Source organism: Homo sapiens, chromosome 14 (genome assembly GCF_000001405.40).
Source record: "Homo sapiens chromosome 14, GRCh38.p14 Primary Assembly".
In the NCBI taxonomy this organism is placed as follows: Eukaryota; Metazoa; Chordata; class Mammalia; order Primates; family Hominidae; genus Homo; species Homo sapiens.
This window is the reverse complement of record NC_000014.9, coordinates 55,838,832-55,862,663: the sequence shown is the minus strand read 5'-3', so window position 1 is coordinate 55,862,663 and position 23,832 is coordinate 55,838,832. Positions and strand designations below refer to the sequence as shown.

Here is a 23,832-nt window from a genome sequence, read left to right as displayed (position 1 = left end):
CCCATCTTTGGCGTTTTATCTACTTTTGGTCTTTGATGATGGTGATGTACAGATGGGTTTTTGGTGTGGATGTCCTTTCTGTTTGTTAGTTTTCCTTCTAACAGACAGGACCCTCAGCTGCAGGTCTGTTGGAGTTTGCTAGAGGTCCACTCCAGACCCTGTTTGCCTGGGTATCAGCAGTGGTGTCTGCAGAACAGTGGTTTTTCATGAACCGCAAATGCTGCTGTCTGATCGTTCCTCTAAAAGTTTTATCTCAGAGGAGTACCCAGCCGTGTGAGGTGTCAGTCTGCCCCTACTGGGGGGTGCCTCCCAGTTAGGCTGCTCAGGGGTCAGGGGTCAGGGACCCACTTGAGGAGGCAGTCTGCCCGTTCTCAGATCTCCAGTTGCATGCTGGGAGAACCACTGCTCTCTTCAAAGCTGTCAGACAGGGACATTTAAGTGTGCAGAGGTTACTGCTGTCTTTTTGTTTGTCTGTGCCCTGCCCCCAGAGGTGGAGCCTACAGAGGCAGGCAGGCCTCCTTGAGCTGTGGTGGGCTCCACCCAGTTCCAGCTTCCTGGCTGCTTTGTTTACCTAAGCAAGCCTGGGCAATGGTGGGCGCCCCTCCCCCAGCCTCGCTGCCGCCTTGCAGTTTGATCTCAGACTGCTGTGCTAGCAATCAGCGAGACTCCGTGGGCATAGGACCCTCCAAGCCAGGTGCGGGATATAATCTCCTGGTGCGCCGTTTTTTAAGCCTGTTGGAAAAGTGCAGTATTCGGGTAGAAATGACCCGATTTTCCAGGTGCCGTCTGTCACCCCTTTCTTTGACTAGGAAAGGGAACTCCCTGACCCCTTGCACTTCCCGAGTGAGGCAATGCCTCACCCTGCTTCCGCTCGCGCACGGTGCGCTGTGCCCACTGACCTGCGCCCACTGTCTGGCACTCCCTAGTGAGATGAACCCGGTACCTCAATGGAAATGCAGAAATCACCCGTCTTCTGCGTGGCTCACGCTGGGAGCTGTAGACCAGAGCTGTTGCTATTCGGCCATCTTGGCTCCTCCCCAGTTAGCAAGATCTCAAATTAACAACCTAAAATCACAGCTAGAAGAACTAGAGAAGCAAGAGCAAAACAATCCCAAAGCTAGCAGAAGGCAAGAAATAACCAAAATCAGAGCTGAATTAAAGGAAATTGAGATATGAAAAACCATATGAAAGATAAATGAATCCAGGAGTTGGTTCTTTGAAAAAAATTAATAAAATAGATAGATTGCTAGACTAATAAAGAAAAAAGAGAGAAAATCCAAATAAACACAATTACAAACGACAAAGGGGACATTACCACTGACCTCACAGAAATACAAAAAACATCAAAGACCCTATGAACACCTCTATGCACAAAACTAGAAAATCTAGAAGAAATGGAAAAATTTCTGGACACATACATCAACCCAAGACTAAACCAGGAAGAAACTGAATCCTTGACCATACCAATAATGAGCTCTGAAACTGAATCAGTAATAAAGAGCCTGCCAACCAAAAAAAAAAGGCCCAGACCTGATGGATTCACAGCTAAATTCTAGGAGATGTATTAAGAAGAGCTGTTACCATTCCTACTGAAACTATTCCAAAAAATGAGGAGGAGGAGCTCCTCCTCAATTCATTCTGTGAGGCCAGCATTTTCCTGACACCAAAACCTGGCAGAGAAACAACAAAATAAAGAAAACTTCAGGTGAATATCTCTGATGAACATAAATGCAAAAATCCTCAACAAAATGCTAGCAATGTGGATCCAGCAGCACGTCAAAAAGCTAATCCACCACAATCAAGTAGGCTTTAGCCCTGGGATGCAAGGTTGCTTCAACATATGCAAATCAATAAATGTGATTCATCACATGAATGGAGCTAAAGACTAAAACCACACGATTATCTCAATAGATACAGAAAAGTCTTTTGGTAAAGTTCAACATCCCTTAAAGTTTAAAATCCTCAATAAACTATGCATTGAATATTTCAATACTTTGAAATAATAAGAGCCATCTATGAAAAACCCACAGCCAACATCATACTGAATGGGCAAAAGCTGGAAACATTCCCCCTTGGAAAATGACACAAGACAAGGATACACTGTCTCACCACTCCTATTCAATATAGTATTGGAAGTCCTGGCCAAAGCAATAAGGCAAGAGAAAGAAATATAAGTCATCCAAATGGGAAGACAGGAAGTCACACTATCCCTGTTTGTAGGTGATATGATTCTATATCTAGAAAAATCCCATTGTTTCTGCCCAAGAGCTATTTAAGCTGATAAACAACTTCAGCAAAGTTTAAGGATGCAACATCAACGTAGGAAATGAGTAGCATTCCTATACACTACCAACATCCAAGCCAAGATCTGAATCAGGACCACAATCCTGTTCACAATTGCCACAAAAAGAATAAAATGCCTAGGAATACAGCTACCAGGGGGAGGGGGGTGAAAGATCTCTACAATGATAATTACAAACCACTGCTCAAAGAAATCAGAGATGACACAAACAAATGGAAAAACATTCCATGCTCATGGATAGGAAGAATCAATATCATTAAAATGTCCATATTGCCCAGAGCAATTTACAGATTCAATGCTATTCCTATCAAACTACCAATGACATTCTTCACAGGACTAGAAAAATTTATTTTAAAATTTATATGGAAACAAAAAAGAGCCCAAATAGCCAAGACAATCCTCAGCCAAAAGAACAAAGCTGGAGGCATCTTGCTACCCAACTTCAAACTATACTACAGGGCTATAGTAACCAACCAAAACAATATGGTACTGGTAGAAGAACAGACACATAGACCAATGGAACCGAATAGGGAGCCCAGAAATAATGCTGCACACCTACAACCATCCGATCCTCAACAAAGCTAACAAAAACAAGCAATAGGAAAAGGACTCCCTATTCAATAAATGGTTCTGAGATAACTGGCTAGCTATACAGAGAAAATTGAAGCTGGAACCCTTCCTTATACCATACACAAAAATCAACTCAACCTGAATTAAAAACTTAAATGTAAAACTATAGAAACCCTGGAAGATAACCTAGGAAGTACCATTCTGGACATAGGAATAGGCAAAGATTTTAGGACAAACATGCCAAAACCAATTACAACAAAGCAAAAATTGATAAATGGGATCTAATCAAACTAAAGAGCATCTGCATAGCAAAAAAAAAAAAAAAAAAACTATCAATGGAGTAAACAGACAATCTACAGAATGGGAAAAAATATTTCCCTATACATCTATACATCTGACTATACATCTGACAAAACCCTAATATCCAGCATCTATAAGGAACTTAATCAAATTTACAAGCAAAAAACTAACAACCCTATTAAAAAGTGGACAAAGAACATTAACAGACACTTTTCAAAAGACAGCAAACACACAGCCAACAAGCATATGAAAAAAATGCTTAATTTCAGTAATCATTAGAGAAATGCAAATCAAAACCACAATGTGATGTCATCTCTCTCCAAGCAGAATGGCTATCATTAAAAAGTCAAAAAATTACAGATGTTAGAAAGGTTGTGGAGAAAAGGGAACATTTATACACTGTTGGCAGGAGTGTAAATTAGTTCAATCATTGTGCAAAGCAGTATGATGATTCCTCAAAGAACTTGAAACAGAATTACCGTTTAGTCCAGCAATCCCATTATTGAGTATATACTGAAAGGAATATAAATTCTGCCACAAAGACACATGCACTCAAAATGTTTGCATTCAAATTTGCAGCACTATTCACAATAGCAAAGACATGGAATCAGCATAAATGCTCATCAATGACAAGACTGGATAAAGGAAATGTGGTACATATACAGCATGGAATACTATGCAGCCATGAAAAGGAATGAGATCACATCCTTTAAAGGAACATGAATGGAGCTGGAGGCCATTATCCTTAGCAAACTAATGCAGGAACAGAAAACCAAATATCATGCATTCTCACTTGTAAGTGGGAGCTAAATAACGAGAACACATGGACACAAAGAAAGGAGCAACAGACACTGGGGCCTACTTGAAGGTAGACGGTGGGAGGATGAAGAAGAGCATAAGAAATAACTAGTGAGTTGTATTAGGCCGTTTTCACACTGCTGATAAAAACATACCCAAGACTGTGTAATTTATAAAGAAAACAAGGCTTAATGGACTCACAGTTCCACATGGCTGGGGAGGCCTTGCAATCATGGCAGAAGGCAAAAGGCACATCTTACGTGGTGGCAGACAAGAGAAAATAACAGAACTTGCGCAGGGAAACTCCCCTTTATAAAACCATCAGATCTTGTGAGACTTATTCACTGTCATGAGAACAGCACAGGAAAGACTTGCCCCCATGATTCAATTACCTCCCACTGGGCCCCTCCCAGAACACATGGGAATTGTGGAAGCTACAATTCAAGATGAGATTTGGGTGGGGACACAGCCAAACCATATCATGAGTACTATGTTTAGTACATGGGTGACAAAATAATTTGTACACCAAACCCCTGTGACACAAGTTTACCTATATAACAAACATGCATATGTATCCCTAAGCCTAAAATAAAAGTTAAAGAAAAATGAAAAAAAACCTAAAATTAAAAAAAATACAGTGCCATTTACAATAGTTCCAAAGAGAAAATATTTAGCTATAAATCTAGCAAAATATATATAAGATATGCTGAAAGCAAAGCACTAATGGAAGAAATTAAAGAAAACCTAAATAAATGAAGAAACATACTGTGTGTTAAGAACTGAATGTTTCTGTACACCCCCACCACAAATTATATGTTAAAGCCCTAACCCCTTAAGGGGTTATATTTGTGGAGATGAGGGGCGCTAAGGAAACAAAGTTAAATAAGGTCGTAAGAGTGGGGCCTTGATCCAATAGGATTAGTGTCCTTATAAGAAGAGACACCAGTGAGCCCACTCTCTCTCTCTCCACACATACACAAGAAAGAGATCATATAAGGACCCAATGAGAAGGTGGCCATCTACAACCTAAGGGGAGACCCCTCACCAGACACCAACCCTACTGGCACCTTGATCGTGGACACCTAGTGTCCGGAACTGTAAGAAAATAAATTCCTGCTGTTAAACTAAACTCAGTCAATGGTATTTCATTACAGCAGCCCAATCAGACAAATATACCATGTTTGTGAATTAGAAGAGTCAACAAAGTAAAAAATGATAATGCTATCCAAATTAATCTAGAGATTTAATACCATTTCTATCAAAATCTCAACAGGATTTTTGCATATAAAAGCCAATTCTCAAATTTATACAGAAAGACAAGCAACTAGAATAGCCAAAACAATTTTTAAAAATAAGAATAAAGAACAACACTCCCTAAATTTAAGATTAGTAAAACCTACAGTAATCAAAAAAACATAATGTTGGTCAGAAATAGATATATAGATCAGTGGAACAAAATGGAGGATCCATAAATAAGCCATACAAGTATAGCCAATTTTTGACAAAGGTAAAAGTAACTCAATGGAGAAAGGATAGTCTTTTTGACAAGTGGTGTTGGAACATCCTTATGCAAAAATACGAAACCTCAACCTAGGCCTCATAACTTACACAAAAATTAACTCAAAATGTATCATAGGTTAAAAGGTGAAAATAGAAATCTAAAATTTTTAGGAGAAAACCTTTGTGATCTGGAGTTAGGCAACGAGTTCCTAGAAGTGAACCAAACACATAATCCACAGAAAAATTAATAAATCAGACTTTATCAAATTATTACCTTTTGCTCTGTGACAGACACATTTAAGAGACTGAAAAGACTAGCTGCAGACTTGGAAAAAATATTTGTAAGTCACATATCTGACAAAAGACTCCTGAATATATAAAGAACTCTCAAAACTCAAAAAGTGAAGAATCCAATTTAAAAACTGGCAAAAGACTTAAACAGATACAACTAACGATATATAGGCCAGGCACAGTGGATAATGCCTGTAATCCCAGCACTTTGGGAGGCTGAGTAGGGCAGATCTCTTGAGTCCAGGAGTTCAAGACCAGCCTGGCCAACATGGTGAAACCTTGTCTCTACTAAAAATACAAAAATTAGCCAGGCGTAGTGGCATGCACCTTAATCCCAGCTACTCGGGAGGCTGAAGCATAAAAACTGCTTGAACCCCAGAGGCAAAGGTTGCAGTGAGCTGAGATCACATATCGGCACTCCAGCCTGGGCAACACAGCTAGACTCAAAAAAAAAAAAAAAAAACCCAATGATATATAGATATCAATGAAAAGTTGTTCAGTATCATTAGCCATCACAGAAATGCGAATTAAAACCACAATTAGATATCACTACATGCATATTAGAATGAATAAAATTGAAAATAGTGACCATATTTATAAAGGTAAATATAAATATAATCCCTCCCAAAGTGCTGGGATTACAGGCATTATCCACTGTGCCTGGCCTATATATCATTGCTAGTGAATACCTGTGTAAGTCTTTTGCCAATTTTTAAACTGTGTTCTTAATTTTTTGAGTTTTGAGAGTTCTTTATGTATTCAAGAGTCTTTTGTCAGATATGTGACTTACAAATATTTTTTTCCAAGTCTGCAGCTAGTCTTTTCAGTCTCTTAAAAGTGTCTGTCACAGAGCAAAAGTTAAGAAGTTGATAAAGTCTGATTTAGTAAGTGCTGCAAGCATGTGGGTCAGCTAAAGCTCTCATACATTGCTGTGAGAATGCCAAACAGCACAGCTTTTATGAAAAGCATTTTGGCAGTTTCTTATAAAGTTAAAGATACGCTTACCATATGATCCAGCAATCCCACTCCTAGATGTTTACTGTAGTGAAATGAAACATACATTCACACAAAAACCTGTATACAAATGTAAATATCAACTCTAGTCTTAACGACCTAAAACTGGAAACAATCTAACTGTCCCTCATTGGGTAAAGGGATAAACAGATGCAGCTATACAATGAAATACTACTTCACAATAAGAATGAACAGTCTACTGATGCATGCAGCAAATTGGGTGAATGTTAAGGGTATTTACGCTAAGTGAAAGAAGCCAGTATCAAAAGGCTATGTTCTGTATCATTCCATTTATATAATATCCTCAAAAAGAAAAGAATTATAGCGATGGATCAGTGGTTGTTGGGGCTGGGGTGGTGTAGGGTGTCACTAAAAGGGAGTAGAACAACAGTGTCTTCTGGTGCTGCAACTGTTCTGTACCCTAATTGCAGAGGTAGTTTCATAAATTTTTACATGTGCTAAATTTATAAAAAACTATACATACAACAAAGTCAATTTTTGGTATATTAACTTAAAATAATTTTTAAAAAACAGAAGAACATTAAATTGGTAGGACCATTTTGACCAAATTCTTTGGGTCTGAGAATTGTATTTAAAAGACATGCTATGAGTGTCCGAATCAAAACACAGATTTGGATACATCATGAAAATGTGGACATGAACTTGACTGAGTTATATTTATAGGCCTAGGGCTAAGATGCAGATCACAATCTTTAGTTGGTGCCGTACTTGTATACCTTAGAGAATTTCTTAGCAGAGATCTAATTTATCATAAGTAAGATTACCTGTCTAGAGATTTTTGCAAGGCTACTCCTTGATAACATGACTGGCCAAATCAAATTGGATCTTATGATCAATATTCTTCATAATAAAGAGACTAAGCCAGCTTGGCTAAAAGAGTCAGTCTCCCTCAAAGTACTAAATTGTATTTGCTATGTCTTATGCTCCAAGAACTGCCTGTTTCATAGACGTATATGATACAAATGGTCAGAAACTCCCTGTCCAGATATCAACTAGAGCTCACTGTCTCCATTAGTACTTTTACCATGCCAGAATTTAATCGAACTTGAGAGCTTATGTTTGCCAACCTCTTCTAAATATAGTGCTTACAAACTTTATACAGAGTGGAATACTTGGGCACTTAGAACTTTACTTTTTCTTGTTTGGGAAATCAGTAACAGACATGGGAGAAGAATCCTCAAGCAAAGTAAAAGCAAAGTGATGTTGAAGAGGCTCTAGAATAATATGATTTCCAGAGACATTCACTCATCATTTACTCATTCATTCATCTATTCAACAAATATTTGCAGAGCACCAACTATGTGGCAAGCGTAGTTGAACAAGACAGATAAGACCCCTGCTCATAAAGCTTGCAATCCAATAAAGGAGAAGGACAAATAATAATCAAGCAACTAGCTAAAAAAAATAAGATATTTACATATTATAATGAGCATTAGGAAGAAAGAACCAGGTGGGGCAATAGAGGGTAAAACGGGGGAACACTTTAGAAGGAATGGTCAGAAGAGGTCCTTAAAAAAGGTAATATTTGGGCTGAGCCCTGAATATAAGATGGCTGTGTGAAAATGAATGAATGGGATTCAGACACGGTGAATGAGAATGCCTGAAGGCAAAAGATGGCTCCATGCATTTGAGTAACAGAAAGGCCAGTGTGGTTAGGAAGCAGTGAATGAGAGGGAAGCATGGTATAAAATACATCTGAGAAGTGCAGCAGACAAATTAGACATAACTTATAGGTCAAGGTGAGTTCAAAATTTATTGTAAGAGAAATAGGGAGTTATTAAAGAATTTTAAGCAGGAGAGTGACATATCTAGTTTATGTTATTTGAAAAAATCACCTGTAATCCCAGTACTTTGGGAGTCTGAGGGAAGAGGATCACTTGAGCCCAGGAGTTTGAGACCAGCCTGGGCAACATGGCAAGACCCCATCTCTACAAAAAATAAAAAATTCGCTGGGTGTGGTGGCACGTGTCTGTAGTCTCAACAACTTGAGAGGCTGAGGTGGGAGGATTGCTTGAGCCTAGGAGGTGGAGCCTGCAGTGAGCCATTATCCTGCCACTGCACTTCAGCCTGAGCAACAGAGCAAGACTGTCTCAAATGAAAAAGAAAAAAAAACTAATTTTGTTAACTAGGGAATGGGTTGAAAGGGGGCAAGACTAAGCACAATGATGCCAGTTGGACCTACATGGCAGTGGTGAAGATGGGGAGAACTGGACAGATTTTAAATCTATTTTTGAGGTAGAACCAACAAGAATTCTGAGCGATTGAATGTGGGAGTTGAAGGAATGGGGAAAGTCAAGTATTATGTTTAGACTTTTGGCTTGAGCAACTGAGAGTTTGGTAATGCCATTTATTGGAAAGGTTAATACTCAAGAAGACTAGGTTTGTGAGAGAAAGAAACCCCTCCATTTGTAACACATTAAGTTTCAGAAGTCATGTGGACATTCAAATGAGAAAAACTGATAGGGGACTGGATAGGTGAGTAAGAAGCTAAGTGGGGTAGGTCCAAGTTAGACTTAATCAGGAGATGTTATACTAAAACCTTGCGGGGAGTGTGGATGGAAAAGGAAAAGAGCTCAAGATTGAATTCCAAGATGTGCCAACATTTGGAAATTAGGTAGAGAAAGAAAAACCAGCAAAAGAGGCTGAAAAGGAGCAGTTACTGTATTAATTTGTTCTCACATTGCTATAAGGAAATATCTGAGACTGGGTAATTTATAAAGGAAAGAGGTTTAATTGACTCACAGTTCCACATGGCTGGGAAGGCCTCTGGAAACTTACAATCATGGCAGAAGGGGAAGAAAGGTACCTTCTTCACAGGACAGCAGGAAGGAGAAGTGCAAGCAGGGGAAATGCCAGATGCTTATAAAACCATCAGATCTTGTGAGACTCACTCACTATCACAAGAACAGCATGAGGGGAACCGTACCCATGATCCAATTACCTTCACCCTTGGTCCCCGCCCCCGCCCCTCGCCGATACATGGGGATTATGGGGATTATGGGGACTACAATTCAAGATGAGATTTTGGGTGGAGACAGAGCCAAACCATATCAATTGATGATATTGGAGGAAAACCAACAGAGTTCAGTGTTTTTTGGAAGCCAAGAGATGGAAGTGATGGTAAATGGAGGAAAAGGTCAACCAGCCAACAACTGGAGTGGTTGATGCTGCTTAAAGGTCAAATCTAATGAGGCCAGAGAACAGCCCTTTGGATGGACAGCATGGAAGCCATTGGTACCTACCCTTAAGGAGAATGGTTTCAGTGGACAGAAAAAACATTTAAGTGGGAGTGCTGGGGAGAAACTTGACTGAAGTTAAAGTATGAATGAGAGATAAAGAAATGGAGGCAGTAAGTACAGATAATGCATTCCAAAAGTTTCTCTATTTAGGCGAGCTGAAAAGTGGAGTCAAGAGAAAGTCTTTTAACATGGGAGATCTTACAGCATATTTATATGCTGTTGGAAATCACCAGCTCAGAAGGAGTAACTGGTGATGCAGGAGAGAATGGATATAAAAGTAGCATCAGGGCCCTGGAGAAAGATGTGATCTTTGATAGCAAGTAAGGTAGAGAAGGTGAATATACATGTGTAGTTAATTCTGTCCAGGAAATAATTAGGTTACCATGCCTACAACATGACTCGCCAAATTAAAGACTGTGTGAAGATCCAGCCCAGAGACACTCAGCTATTTCAGTCCTCTTACTCTCCTGCCATCATGCTATCATGAGGGCAGTGGGCCAACAAGCCTAGCATGCCTCCAAAGGGAACTGGTTGAGGAGGGGAACCATGTCAGAGAAAATCTGTAATCGTTGCTGCCCCACTGTCTATTTGGTTTCATGCAATTAATGAGTGAATTGATTTTATGTTATTAATAACATAATACTGTCACAGTTATTTTCTCTTGGCCTCAAATTGCTCGTGGAACCTTAGAGGAGACCATAGTTTAGCCTGTAACATACTCAACTAATGAAACCAACAGCAATACAAGACTTATGAGAGTAAGAACATACTATTTTAAATATGTTGGTGGTGTGGGCTGGCTTGGCTTTAAGAAATGCTGAGACCACTATGGTGGACAAACTCAAAACTGGGACAGAAATTTCCTCATGCAGACAGGGTCCACATAGTGATGATGAGGGGGAATAAAGGCTACAGCTTTCTGGGTATCTAGTGCCCTTTAGATAACCAAAGGATTATCCCTTCAGGTTGCAGATTAAATCCAGGCATCACCCACGGTGGACATTCACACTGATAGAATGCAAAGCTATGCTCAATCACTGGGCAGTTCTAACCCTGTGAAGGCTTCAGTATTCACAGCTGAGCAGGGGCACAGCAGGAAGGAACTGACAGAGGCTAAGAACACAGTGCCAGGACACAGGGCTACAGGAACCAGAAAAGAGTGGATACTGGCAATGAATGCAAGCTTCCTGGGCAATCCTGCTGACTCCAGAGATTTCTTTTTGTCCCTCACCCTTCAGCCACAGTTAAGCTCTAATAAGAATATGTTCTTACTAAGCGGATTTGGAGTTACTTTATTTTGAGAGCTGGGTGGATTTTTTTACCAAATTGAAAGTAGGCATTCTTATTTTATCATAAAAAATACACACATACACGCATGCACACACACACACACACACACATACTGGCAACATCCTAGAAATAGACCAGAATACACTCTAACTTAGGGTAAAGGAATAGAGCAGGAATCCATCATACAATCAAATCTTTTGACCCACAAACCCCATCAAGATATTTCCCTAATCTCATGAGAATGCCTCCAGAGGCACGCCCGTGATGGCATGCACACAATTATGAGTCACAAGCAGTCTGCATAATTATGAACATAAACATGCAACCCAAGATTAAACACATCCCACACATCAGGACAACCCTAAAAACAGCTGGATATCCTCCACTGGCTTCAAAGCTATCAGAGTGTGTCCTCCGAGGCACCACACTACTCATGCTCAGGAAGTTCTGCATGTTCTTAGGGATCTCACCATGACATCAAGCTCCATCCCTAACTGAGTGGGGCGAAGAACAACTCTTCCAGTTTGCAGAAGCTGCTAGACTGGAACATGCAGATCTCACATATTCCTTCTTGAGGAAGGAGCTCCCAACTCTCAACTGCCAGTAGGGTTATTTCTCATATTGCATTTGAGGTTGGTTGACTTATGGTTCTTTCTTGATAAATGCATGTATTTGAAAATGACATCCCAAAAGCTTTTTTCCCCTCCCTGGCAATCTCTTGATGGCTACTCATCTCCAAGAGTATTTGTCCATTTCTCTCTCACACAAACTGACACTCTACTGGGAGACACAGAAAAACTGTTTTCTCATGGCCATATATAAGCTTATCACATAGGTCACATTTGTGTCCTTAGAGTTTTCCCAGTTTCATTCATCATTTTAGTGTGTGAGGGGTAACTCGTCCAACTTTTCCTGGACTTTTGACACAGCTGAAAGATGTGACAGTGGGAAATGAGCAGCAGAGAAAACTTTGAGAAACATAGTTCATCTACACAAACACTGTTTATTGACCCTAGGAAGACAGAAACAATCACGGAGACCAGGAGCTGAAGATGGAGACTCACAGACATAGCAATGACTAAAACCTAAGGAGAAACCAGGCACAGTAGTCCCAGCTACTGAAGGGGCTAAGGCAGGATAATCACTTGAGTCCAGGAGCTCAGAGCTACAGTGCACTTAGGATCACACCTGTGAATAGCCACTGCACTCCAGCCTGGGCAACATAGCAAGACCCTGTTTTAAAAGGAGAAGAAAAAGGCTTAGAGGGCAGAGTGGAAATCAGGACAAGTGTGCTATGCTGACCATGGTCCTGAGAAATATTTGCCTACTGGAGCCTAGATGCTTCTCCTAATCCTGAGGTATTGGTGACTTTCATACAACTCTCTTCGGGACATCTCAACTAGGTGAGGAAGGAGGTGGTGGTAGGAGAGGAGGCAAGGGTGAGATAGATGGACAGTCGCTCTTGGAGAGGCATCATTTCCCTGACTACCAGGGACAAAAAGAAAAGATTTTCTGAATGACATCTTCGATGAGTTGTAATTACCAAAAAAGAAACCACTAACAACAGTTAAAAATCAAATCTTTGAAAGAAGCTAAGAAATTTTGTGCTGTAAGATACAGTACTGTACAAGTGAAGACATAAACAAATAACTGTAATCAGGTGATGAGCAGAATATCAACCAGGTAGAATTGAAGTGTCATTGTGAGTTGAGTCATAACAACATTCTCCTCTCACTCCTCAACATTATCTCCTTGAGAGACCTCATCCATTCTCATGGCTTCAATATCATCCAATGCTTATGACCCCAACTTTATATTTTTACCTATGATCTCTCCTTTGAGCTCCAGAACTTAGTATCCAACCACCTTACTTTCCATCTCTACTTGGATGATTCATAGATGGGAATCCCCCTATCAAAATGCCAATGGGAGATACCAATTGGCAGTACGGAAAATAATGCTTTAATTGGATATTTAAATACAATATCAGAAAGTGGAAACATTCAGAGCAAAGGAAAAAGAATCCTAACTGGATAGGAAACTTGGACATAAGACATGGTAGGCTTACTATAAGAAGACAGTGAATGATGAGAACAAACCTCAAACAGGGGTATTTCCTGCTGATGGAAACTGCAAATAAGGGCAGTTCTTTTCTGAATAGCCTACAGAAGGAATTATTGGCTAGGCATCTGTCTTCTCAGTTATGTCTGCACCCATGAATAGAAACATTGTCATCTAATCATAATAAATAAAATTCTCAATCTGGAAACTCCAAGTCTGAAGGAAACTCACATACACTTTTTTTTGAGACAAGGTCTTGCTCTGTCACCCAGGCTAGAATGCAGTGGCATGATCTTGGCTCACTGCAACCTCAGCCTCCAAGGCTCAATCGATCCTCCCACCTCAGCCCCCCAAGTAGCTGGGACTACAGGTACACACCACTATGTCCGGCTAATTTTTTTATTTTTTGTAGGAATAGGGTTTTCACCATGTTCGCCAGGCTTGGATACTTATAAATCAGGAAAAGCTATGATGAAGTCATCAGGGTTGAGAGCCCCCACATTCTAGAATCAAGGCTTGAAGGATGATGTCTTAGAGAAAGTAAAAATGTTACTTTACACAGTGTGTAATAAACTTATGGAATTCTTAGTTCTAGAAGTAACAGAGGCCAAAAACATAAATCAGGTTGAGAATTATTTGGATCCTTCCCTTGGTGGAGGCACCCTAGCAGATTAGCAAGGGAGTTTTATTTTGGGGGAATATAACTAATTTTGTAAGGCTGAAGCTCTGGAGAGATTTGTAAATGCCATCTTGGTGCCCCTTCTGTTTAAGTTCATCTCCCAGAGAAGCCAGGACCCCTCAAACCTCAGATCAATGTAGAAGTGAAACAAGACTGCTTAGAGATTACAGAAGATGGAGCTGATAGAGATTGAATGTCAACATCTGGGACTAAAATCAGAACCAAGACAACCTAAACACCATGGATGCAGTCACAGAATGACATATAGTGGCAAAAAGACAGAACGTGCAAATTCAGAAGAGAGGAAGGAGATAGAGACTGGAGAGATGTCATCTTGGGGGCAAAGACTTGAGCATGGGTGAGGAGCAGGCTATTACAGGCACAAAGCCATTGTACATCCCTTAGAAATAAGCCTGCCAATGGACCAGTGACCATTTCATGTACCCTTTGGACTTTGCAACATAAAATACAACACGTACCCACATTATAAACGCATCTAGGAACATGCTCTCATGCAAAAAGTGGGGCATGAGAGGACACACACATACACATACATTCCATAAAGTTTTTATTAGCACCAAAAGCCAAGAAAGGAAGAGGGAAAGGATCCTCTGAACGAAGCACTGCACAGTTTTTCCCAATATGTCATGCACATGAGAATTTAATGAGTCACAAATTCCAGTGGGTATTTTCCCCTCAATTTTCCAGTTTGTTCTATTTTGCAAATATTTGTACTCAAATGATAATGTGACTTTTGTCATACAGCCACACTGACTCCCTCATGAAGAGCTTTATTTAGAGTCAGAAGACATCTGCTAAATTGAGATTTACAAAGAACTTATTAAACACAAACATAAATAGATGGGCTCTGAATATTATATTCTGAGCATTCACTTCCTTATGTACTTGCAAATTATACACCAGCATGCAAAGCATCTCAAAAGAGCAATGCATAAAATCTCCTTAGAATCTCTTTCTTCTGAGCACCTTGGAGATGTTCTCTCATCTGAAGCCATTAATTAGGAAGGTTAAACACTGCCTTCCTGGTTTGCAGCCTTTGTCTCCACAGGCTATTGATGCAGAACGTGGGAAAAGACTAAGTAAGTACTTCTGAGGATTATGACAATTGATGATTGACATCAAGGATCCATAATAGAGACACAGATTTCAATCAAGTCTGACAGTGGATGGGACATGCTACAGTACAAGCCAAAATCCTTGAGAACATCATATTCCTGGGGAGCAGACTGTTTTATGATTTTCAGGCTCATAAGTGAGTCAGAATTGGACTCACTGCTTCACTTGTGAAACCGTTACTTGGCACTGTCACAGTGACAAACCAATGGCCTAAAATGCAATTAGCTATTATGCATCCTTGTTAAGCAACAGCCTGGTCGCCCCTGGCACTACATGTGAGCTGCAGTTAATGTGGCATGCCTAGCTAACAGGCAGGTCCCAGTTTGAATGAGATAAGGAACTCACTTCAAACAAGGCATTTCTTTGCAGACTCCAAAAACTATTTTTTTAAAAAAACATACTTTCTGCCAAATTAAAGAGAAGTTTTACAACATAATACAAATGCAGTGTTGAAGAGGTTCTGGGATCCCTCTGGAATTGTGTAATATTTTAGTAATATTTATCATTTATCTCCTGTAGTTAGGAAGATAGAAAGGGTCAGAAAAGTACAACATATAAATTAGTTTCTGTGGCCTTTGATAAAAAAAACTGTTTGCATTACATCATTTTAGTGGCTCTTGAATTGTGATTGAGGACATTATTGTCTCTCCAAGACCGACCACATCTCCTTAGGGAGTAAAGCCATTATATGGAAAACCTTGTATCCCTTGCCCTTCCCTTCTAAATTTAAATCCCACCAAGAGGAAAAACATCAGTTTTACCGTCTATCTGCAAATGCATGACCAATACCATAATAATGACAATGACCAAGTCCTCATTGCACAAGATTGCTCTAGTAATTCAGAGCAGCCAGAGTCTCAAACCCAAATGAAAGAAGGGTCCAGTGGTCCCACTCCTACCTCACCCAGCTGGTGTCCAATCATACACAGTAAAAGCTTAGTAATTTCCCAAATGCGCAGCAACGGAACACAAATTTCCTCCCAAAATAAATGCCTCTGAGATAGTAGGTCCTGATCATTGGAAACTTTGGTTGTCAGTGTGGGATATGCGTGTTTGCGGCCTCTTGTGGATTGAGTGCATGAACAGCCCTAATTAATGGCCTCCTTAAATTCAGGCTTTTCATCCTGTAACTGTGCAGGCCCCACCCACTCTGACTCTGGGCCATGTGACCTCCTTTGACCAATGGGACAGTAGCAAATCTGACACATTAAAAAGCTCTTCAAAATGTGTGAGTCTTCCTGTTTCCTCCATTGTTTCTCTGTGACTGTCACGAGAACCCAGGGAAGCTAGCCTGCCAAAGGGATGTGTGGGCGTGAGACATGGGCATGTGACAGGTCCATGGAGGAGATCAAAGCAATCCTAGCTGTGGCCCTCAATGAAGCAGCCTTTGATATGGACATAAGGCAGGGAAATACTACGTAGAAAAGGGTGGGGTCCCTGGCAAACCTGGATCCTCAGCCCTAAATGAGAACTTCACACATCCCTGTTTTTCCATCAGAATGTTGGTTTTCCAAAACCACCCCTGCCAGCCCCACCCCCACCCTGTACTCATAAAAACCCCAAGTTCCACTAGCAGGAGAGCAGAGCAGGGCAGCAGAGAAGGAGAGAAGAAAAGCAGCAGCTGGATGTCAGATAAAAGCAGCTTGACTTCAGAGGAATGGCCTGACAGCAGGATTTTGGAGAAGAGTTCAGCCAAGGATGGCAGAACTCCAGGGGAAGATTATCTTCCCACTCCATCCCCCTTCCAGCTCCCCTTCCCACTGAGAGCCACTTCCACTGCTCAATAAAATCTTCTGCATACACCACCCTTCAATTCATTCATGTGACCTGATTCTTCCTGGACGCTGGACAAGAACTCAGGTACCAAGAGGGCAGGGTGTAAAAGGCTGGCACCCTGACCCTCCACTCAGTTGGGTGACACTTAGCCATTTGTGGATAGCAAATGCTAAAACAGCACTGATTGTAACACATGCCCTCTGAAGCTGCAGGGGTCACAGACACCCTCTTCCAGACAGCAGAGCTAAAAGAGCATTGTAACACACTTGGATGCTGCCATAGGACCCACATAAAGCCTGCTTCTGCCAGAGAGGAGCGACCAGCCAGTTCCAGTGTTCATTCACCCCAGCTCCTGTACCTACTCACCTGTGTGTTCCGCCCCCCACCATGAGGGGTTCAGAGCTGCAGGCTGAGTAAACAAACCACCCCTTCACAAGTCCTGCAAAGGGGTCAAGGGAAATATCCTGTCTCACCTTCATCTAACCCACGAGCTGAACAGATGCATGAATGAGCCCAGCTGGGAGAGGCCAAGACTGGCCAGATGAGCACAGCTGGCTGGTGAACCCATAGACCCATGGGAAATCATACATGGCTATTGTTTTGGTTTTGTTGTTGCTGTTTTGAGACAGAGTCTTGCTCTGTCGCCCAGGCTGGTGTGTGGTGGCACGATCTCAGCTCACTGCAAGCTCCACCTCCTGGGTCACACGCTTCTCCTGCCTCAGCCTCCCGAGTAGCTGGGACTACAGGGGCCCGCCACCATGCCCGGCTGATTTTTCGTATTTTTAGTACAGACGGGGTTTCACCATGTTAGCCAGGATGGTCTCGATCTCCTGACCTCGTGATCCGCCCGCCTCGGCCTCCCAAAGTGCTGGGATTACAGGTGTGAGCCACAGTGCCCAGCCCTTACATGGCTATTGTTTTAAACCACAATGTTGGATTGGTTTGTTACATAGTATTATGTTGGTAACTGATACAGAGTCAGAGCTGATTTTTTTAGGGCAGCAGAGGAGAGCTTTTGTGCTACCATCAGTAATCAAGCATCACAATTCTTCCTCAAGCAGCCTCTTCTTAAAATAAATGTTGAACAGAAATGTAAATAATCGGTTTGAAAGAACACTGAATTTTAATTTTGAGTCTGTCTTAAGCACTCACAGTTTTGGGAGGCATCACAGACAAGAGGTGAAGTAAGAGCTCAGGAACTGAGTACTTGTGAACAGGCCTGGATGGATGGAACTCAAGAGCTTAAGATATGGAAGCTTCATAAAGATGAGTACCCAGCTATTTACAGGCCCTGGGTCTCAGGAGGATGTCGGCAAATTTAAAGGGACAGGATTTATTTTGTCGCCATCTTCCTTGAAAGAAACTTTAAAGAATCTCAGAAGGATTCTAAAGGTCATCTGTCTGTCTACTCTTGACACTTGATCACTGAGTTGTCAACCAGCCCGGTTTGTTATAAACTGAACAAATGACAGTTTGGGAGTGGCGTTAAACGACTGAGGATCACTGAGGACATTTAGACAGGTCTGAGAATTAGAAAAGGCCTCAGTGAGTTCACGCTTCCTGCCTGGAAAACTCCTCCCTTGGCTCTGCCAGCAAGGAATACTAAACAGCATAGAGCTTTAGATGTCTCTGAAGCTCCTCAATTTACAAGTTAAGTCCAGATCCTGAAGAAAACATAAACTAGACTTAAACAAGATTTTACAAAATCTCAAATCAAAATGTCAAATAAAAATGTATTAAGGATCTGGTTTTGTGCCCTCTGCTGGACATGGTTTTACAAAATAAAAAAAGGAGGACACGGTCCCCTACCTTTAAGATTTTTATCATTTGATAAAATTAGATAAACATACCTGAAATACTAGCAGACTAATAAGATCTATACAATTGTGGTAATCATTCATATGTTCATAAATATTCAGATTCTCTTCCATCCACATATAAGAAAAAATTGTACTTCACCCACCCGGAAGTAAGGTGTGGTCATGGGACTTGTTTTGGACAAGAAAATAAGAAGTGATGGGTGTCATTTTTCAGGGAAAATATTTAACCACTTAGTTAAACCGAACCCCAACCTCCTTTCCTCGTGGCAGTGATCATGGAAGCACATGTCAAGACAGAGCCTCTGTCAGCCGGGACCCTGCTGAATGACTGCAATAAACAGAAGCCGCCTGTTGACCTACATGGCAGATGTAGTATAAATGAGAAATACATCTTGTTATGTAAAACCACAGAAATTTGAGGTTGTTTCCCCAGTGTAACCTAACCTATTGTGACTGAGATAACAATAAACATCTCAAATATTGTCACCTTAACTATGAGCATAAAAAGGTCATAGGGGAGAAATCATTGTGGGCTACAGTAGTCTGAAGGCATAGTTAGGTCATAAAAGATAATACAAGGGATATAAAGGAGTAGGAAGAGAGTTAGAGGCAGAAAAAACCCACAAAGGCATACAAACAAGAATGTATTTCTGCCTTTATTATAGGGCTTAATATAATATAATCACTAGTGTATTTGGTGGGCTCCTTTCTTCCAAAGACCTGGGCTTGCCACCTTGGTCCCCGCAGGGCTGGCTATGATAGGTGCTCAGGGTGTATTTGTTGAATAAACTAGCAGAGCATATTGAGGACAATGGGATGACCAAGCTGAGTCAATCAAAAGGTAAAAGAATATTCTATTTGACTGGCAAAAGGCACCACTTTAAATATCAGGGACAATACATGTACAGCAGGAGTGTCAATTTCAAGAAAACCTTCATCTTGGAAAGACCTGAGTTTCCTCATCTATAAAATGAGGGTTCAAGACCAAATGACACCAAAGGTTTGCTCCAGTCCTCATAGCTAGGATGCTATTATTATTTTTTCATCCAAGAATTGAATCGCTTTCTCCACTAAACTTTAATAATTTCTACGGTCTAACCATGTCATTGGATTTTTCATAACGTTATTGTTCTTTTAAAAGCTTCAGGGTCTTATAAAATTCTATGCCAGCATTTGAGCCAGGGGTTCTTTAAAGTGGAAAACATTGGTTTCTAAAGAAATATTCAGATTGTGATAAGTTCAAACCAGGCCCAAATTTCTTCAATGCATGTGTAATATACAATTTCGTTTTTGCTCAAGAATTTTATTCTTAGGGAAGTTTTTGAGGTGTCATGAGAAAGGAGGGGGAAGGAAGTAGAGAATGATCTCTATGTGGTAGTGGATGCAAATAATTAGCTACATCTAAAATTTTTATAACTATGATTGATTCATGTACAACTTAGGTATTAAAAAATAAAAATAAAAAATAGACCAGGCATGGTGGTTCATGCCTGTAAACCCAGCATTTTCGGGAGCCGAGGCAGGAGCATCACTTGAGCCCAGGCACTTGAAACCAGCCTGAGCAACACAGTGAGACCCCATCTCTCCAAAAAAAAAAATAGCCAGGCGTGGTGGCATACCTGTGGTCCCAGCTATTGGGGAGCCTGAGGCAGGAGTATCGCTTGAACCCAGAAGGTCAAGGCTGCAGTGAGGTATGTTCATGCCACTGCACTTCAGCCTGGGTGATAAGAGCAAGATGCTGTCTCAAAAATAAAAATTAAAAATATGTGTGTGTGTGTGTGTGTGTGTGTGTGTGTGTGTGTGTGTGTGTATATATACTTTTTTCTCTAAAATTTTCCAAAGTTATATTTCAGAAATCCTTCTTCTTTTTTTTCTTTTCATAAATATATTTGGATTTCACTGCTGGTTTCTGGTTTGCTTCACTGCGTGACCCCTATCACACCTCGCACCATTTTTAAAAATACATATAAGGACTGAAGTCAAGAGCACTCTAACACTTACTCACACTTTAGCATACCCAAGGCAGGGGCCAGGGCCCTGAGGAGTGCCAGCCCTTGGGCCAACCACTAAGTACTTTGAGGCAAGAGCAGGCCCAGGGGGGTTGAGACACATCCTCCATTCAACACTCCAGCCCCAGGGGTGTCATCCTGCTCCAGGCCGCCAGCCCTTCCAACGGAACTGTCTAAACTGTCTTTGACTAAGGCCTGGGACAGCCTTCGTCGTAGGTAATCTAATAAAGCTATTAAGCAATAATGATAGAGACCATGCTTATTAGAAGATGACTGCACACTCAGGAGGATGATATTAGCAGCAAGGCCCACCCAGAGGACCTTCAATCTCCTAGGAAGGAGATTAATTCATGATAAATACACTCACTGGGGCCTTCATTGCTTTCGAAATTTAAAAAATAATATTCTTTATTTTGGAGAAAGATGATAAGAGAGGGAGAGGGAAGAGGGCTTTTGAACAATAATATCAGATGTGATGCATTCAGATTAATGGGATCTGCTAGACTGTTCCACTGCCAGTCAGTGCCTCATTAATCCAACTATTTTTATAATAAAAGCAGAAGACACTCAAGACGAGTTTCTCCTGTTGTGGAAAAAAAAAAATACATGTATCTATTCCAAAAGCATATCTTAGGGAGGCTCAGTGAGGGAATGAGGAAGGCAGGGTATTCACCTAGTCTAATTACATGTGGTCAGTTTGAATGCTTTTCTTTTTATTTGTACTTTCTTAACACCGTTTGGGAAAAACATGACATATTTTTCTCTCTGGTTTCAACAAGCGTATTGACTCATCCGTGCCAATGCACATCAAAGCATATGCTGTCAGCCCCTAGCAGGTATGCGGGGTGTGCGTGTGTGTGTGCATGTGTGTGTGAGATTCCCATCCAGTGCTGGATCAGTACTTCTGATACGGCTGTCTTCACTTCCAGGGAGGCATCTCAGACATGACATGATAGAAATGTGACCAACACACAAGCTCCCAGATACTTTCCCCACAAGAAGCCTAAGATTCTCCACAATGGCATAGCTGTACAATGGCTGCAAATATAACACATTTTACCACACGTCCACCTACAAAAGCAAGGAGTTCTAAGCACATAAAGCAAAGAATTCATCTGGGAACACCCCCAGCAAAAAATTTCCCCATTTCCCTTTTCCCCTTCATCTCGATACCACATTGGAGCTCATGTGATATTGTGTCCAGAATTGGTAGGTTCTTGGTCTCACTCACTTCAAGAATGAAGCCGCGGACCCTCGCAGTGTTACAGTTCTTAAAGGCAGTGTGTCCGGAGTTTGTTCCTTCTGATGTTCCGATGTGTGCGGAGTTTCTTCCTTCTGGTGGGGTTCGTGGTCTCGCTGGCTCAGGAGTGAAGCTGCGGACCTTCGCGGTGAGTCTTACAGCTCTTAAGGCGGCGCATCTGGAGTTGTTCGTTCCTCCCGGTGGGTTCGTGGTCTCGCTGCTTCAGGACTGAAGCTGCAGACCTTCGCAATGAGTGTTACAGCTCATAAACGCATGGTGGATCCAAAGAGTGAGCAGCAACAGAACTTATTGCAAAGAGCGAAAGAACAAACCTTCCATGGCGTGGAAGGCAACAGGAGCGGGTTGCCACTACTGGCTCGGGCAGCCTGCTTTTATTCTCTTATCTGGCCCCCACCCACATCCTGCTGATTGGTAGAGCCCAGTGGTCTGTTTTGACAGGGCGCTGATTGGTGCGTTTACAATCCCTGAGCTAGATACAAAGGTTCTCCACGTCCCCACCAGAGTAGGTAGACACAGAGTGTCCATTGGTGCATTCACAAACCCTGAGCTAGACACAGGGTGCTGATTGGTGTGTTTACAAACCTTGAGCTAGATACAGAGTGCTGATTGGTGTATTTACAATCCCTTAGCTAGACATAAAGGTTCTCCAAGTCCCCACCAGACTCAGGAGCCCAGCTGGCTTCACCCAGTGGATCCCACACCAGGGCTGCAAGTGGAGCTGCCTGCCAGTCCCGTGCCATGCGCCCACACTCCTCAGCCCTTGGGTGGTCGATGGGACTGGGCACCGTGGAGCAGGGGGCGGTGCTCGTCAGGGAGGCTCGGGCCGCACAGGAGCCCACGGAGGGCTGGGGGAGGCTCAGGCATGGCGGGCTGCAGGTCCGGAGCCCTGCCCCGGGGGAAGGCAGCTAAGACCCGGCGAGAAATTGAGCACAGCAGCCGCTGGCCCAGGTGCTAAGCCCCTCACTGCCCAGGGCTGGTGGGGCCGGCCGGCCGCTCTGAGTGCGGGGTCCGCCAAGCCCACGCCCACCTGGAACTCGCGCTGGCCCGCAAGCACCGCGCGCAGCCCCGGTTCCTGCCGGCGCCTCTCCCTCCACAGCTCTCCGCAAGCTGAGGGAGCCGGCTCTGGCCTTGGCCATCCCAGAAAGGGGCTCCCACAGTGCAGCGGCGGGCTGAAGGGCTCCTTAAGTGCCGCCAAAGCGGGAGCCCAGGCAGCGGAGGCGCCGAGAGCGAGCGAGGGCTGTGAGGACTGCCCTCTCAATATGAGGGTTTACTTTTGCAGGTGTACATCCTTAACAATTACCTCCAAATGTCTCTCAGATCTTCTGCTCCTCTCTACCTCCATAGACATGACCCTAGTTCAAACTATTATAATTTCTCACTTGGGCCATTGCAATAGACTTGCAACCTGCCCCTTCTAATCCATCCTCCACATTGCATTCAGAATAATCAAGTTTTCTTTTTGACGTAAAATTCACATAACATAAAATTAAGCATTTTAAAGTTTACAATACATTGGTATTTAGTATATTCACAATGTTGTGTACACCTATGCCAACTTCCAAAACCTTTGAACCACCCCAAAAGAAAATCTGTTAGGCCATCACTCCCATCCCGCCCCCAACCCATAGCAACCACCAATCTGATTTACTTATTCTGGATGTTTCACAAAAATGAAACATGAGATATGTGATCTTTGGGCCTGGCTTCTTTCATTTAGTGTGCTGTTTCTGAGGTTCATCCACACTGTAACATTATCTCATTCGT

The 23,832-nt window shown here is 42.0% G+C and overlaps 1 annotated feature.

Moving 5' to 3' along the window:
- Positions 618-1,118: an enhancer, noted in NCBI's record as "H3K4me1 hESC enhancer chr14:56328264-56328764 (GRCh37/hg19 assembly coordinates)". NCBI's record gives its function as "activates a minimal SCP1, AML or CMV promoter by ChIP-STARR-seq in naive H9 embryonic stem cells {active_cell/tissue: H9 hESC(naive)}" and the evidence as "EXISTENCE:reporter gene assay evidence [ECO:0000049][PMID:30033119]".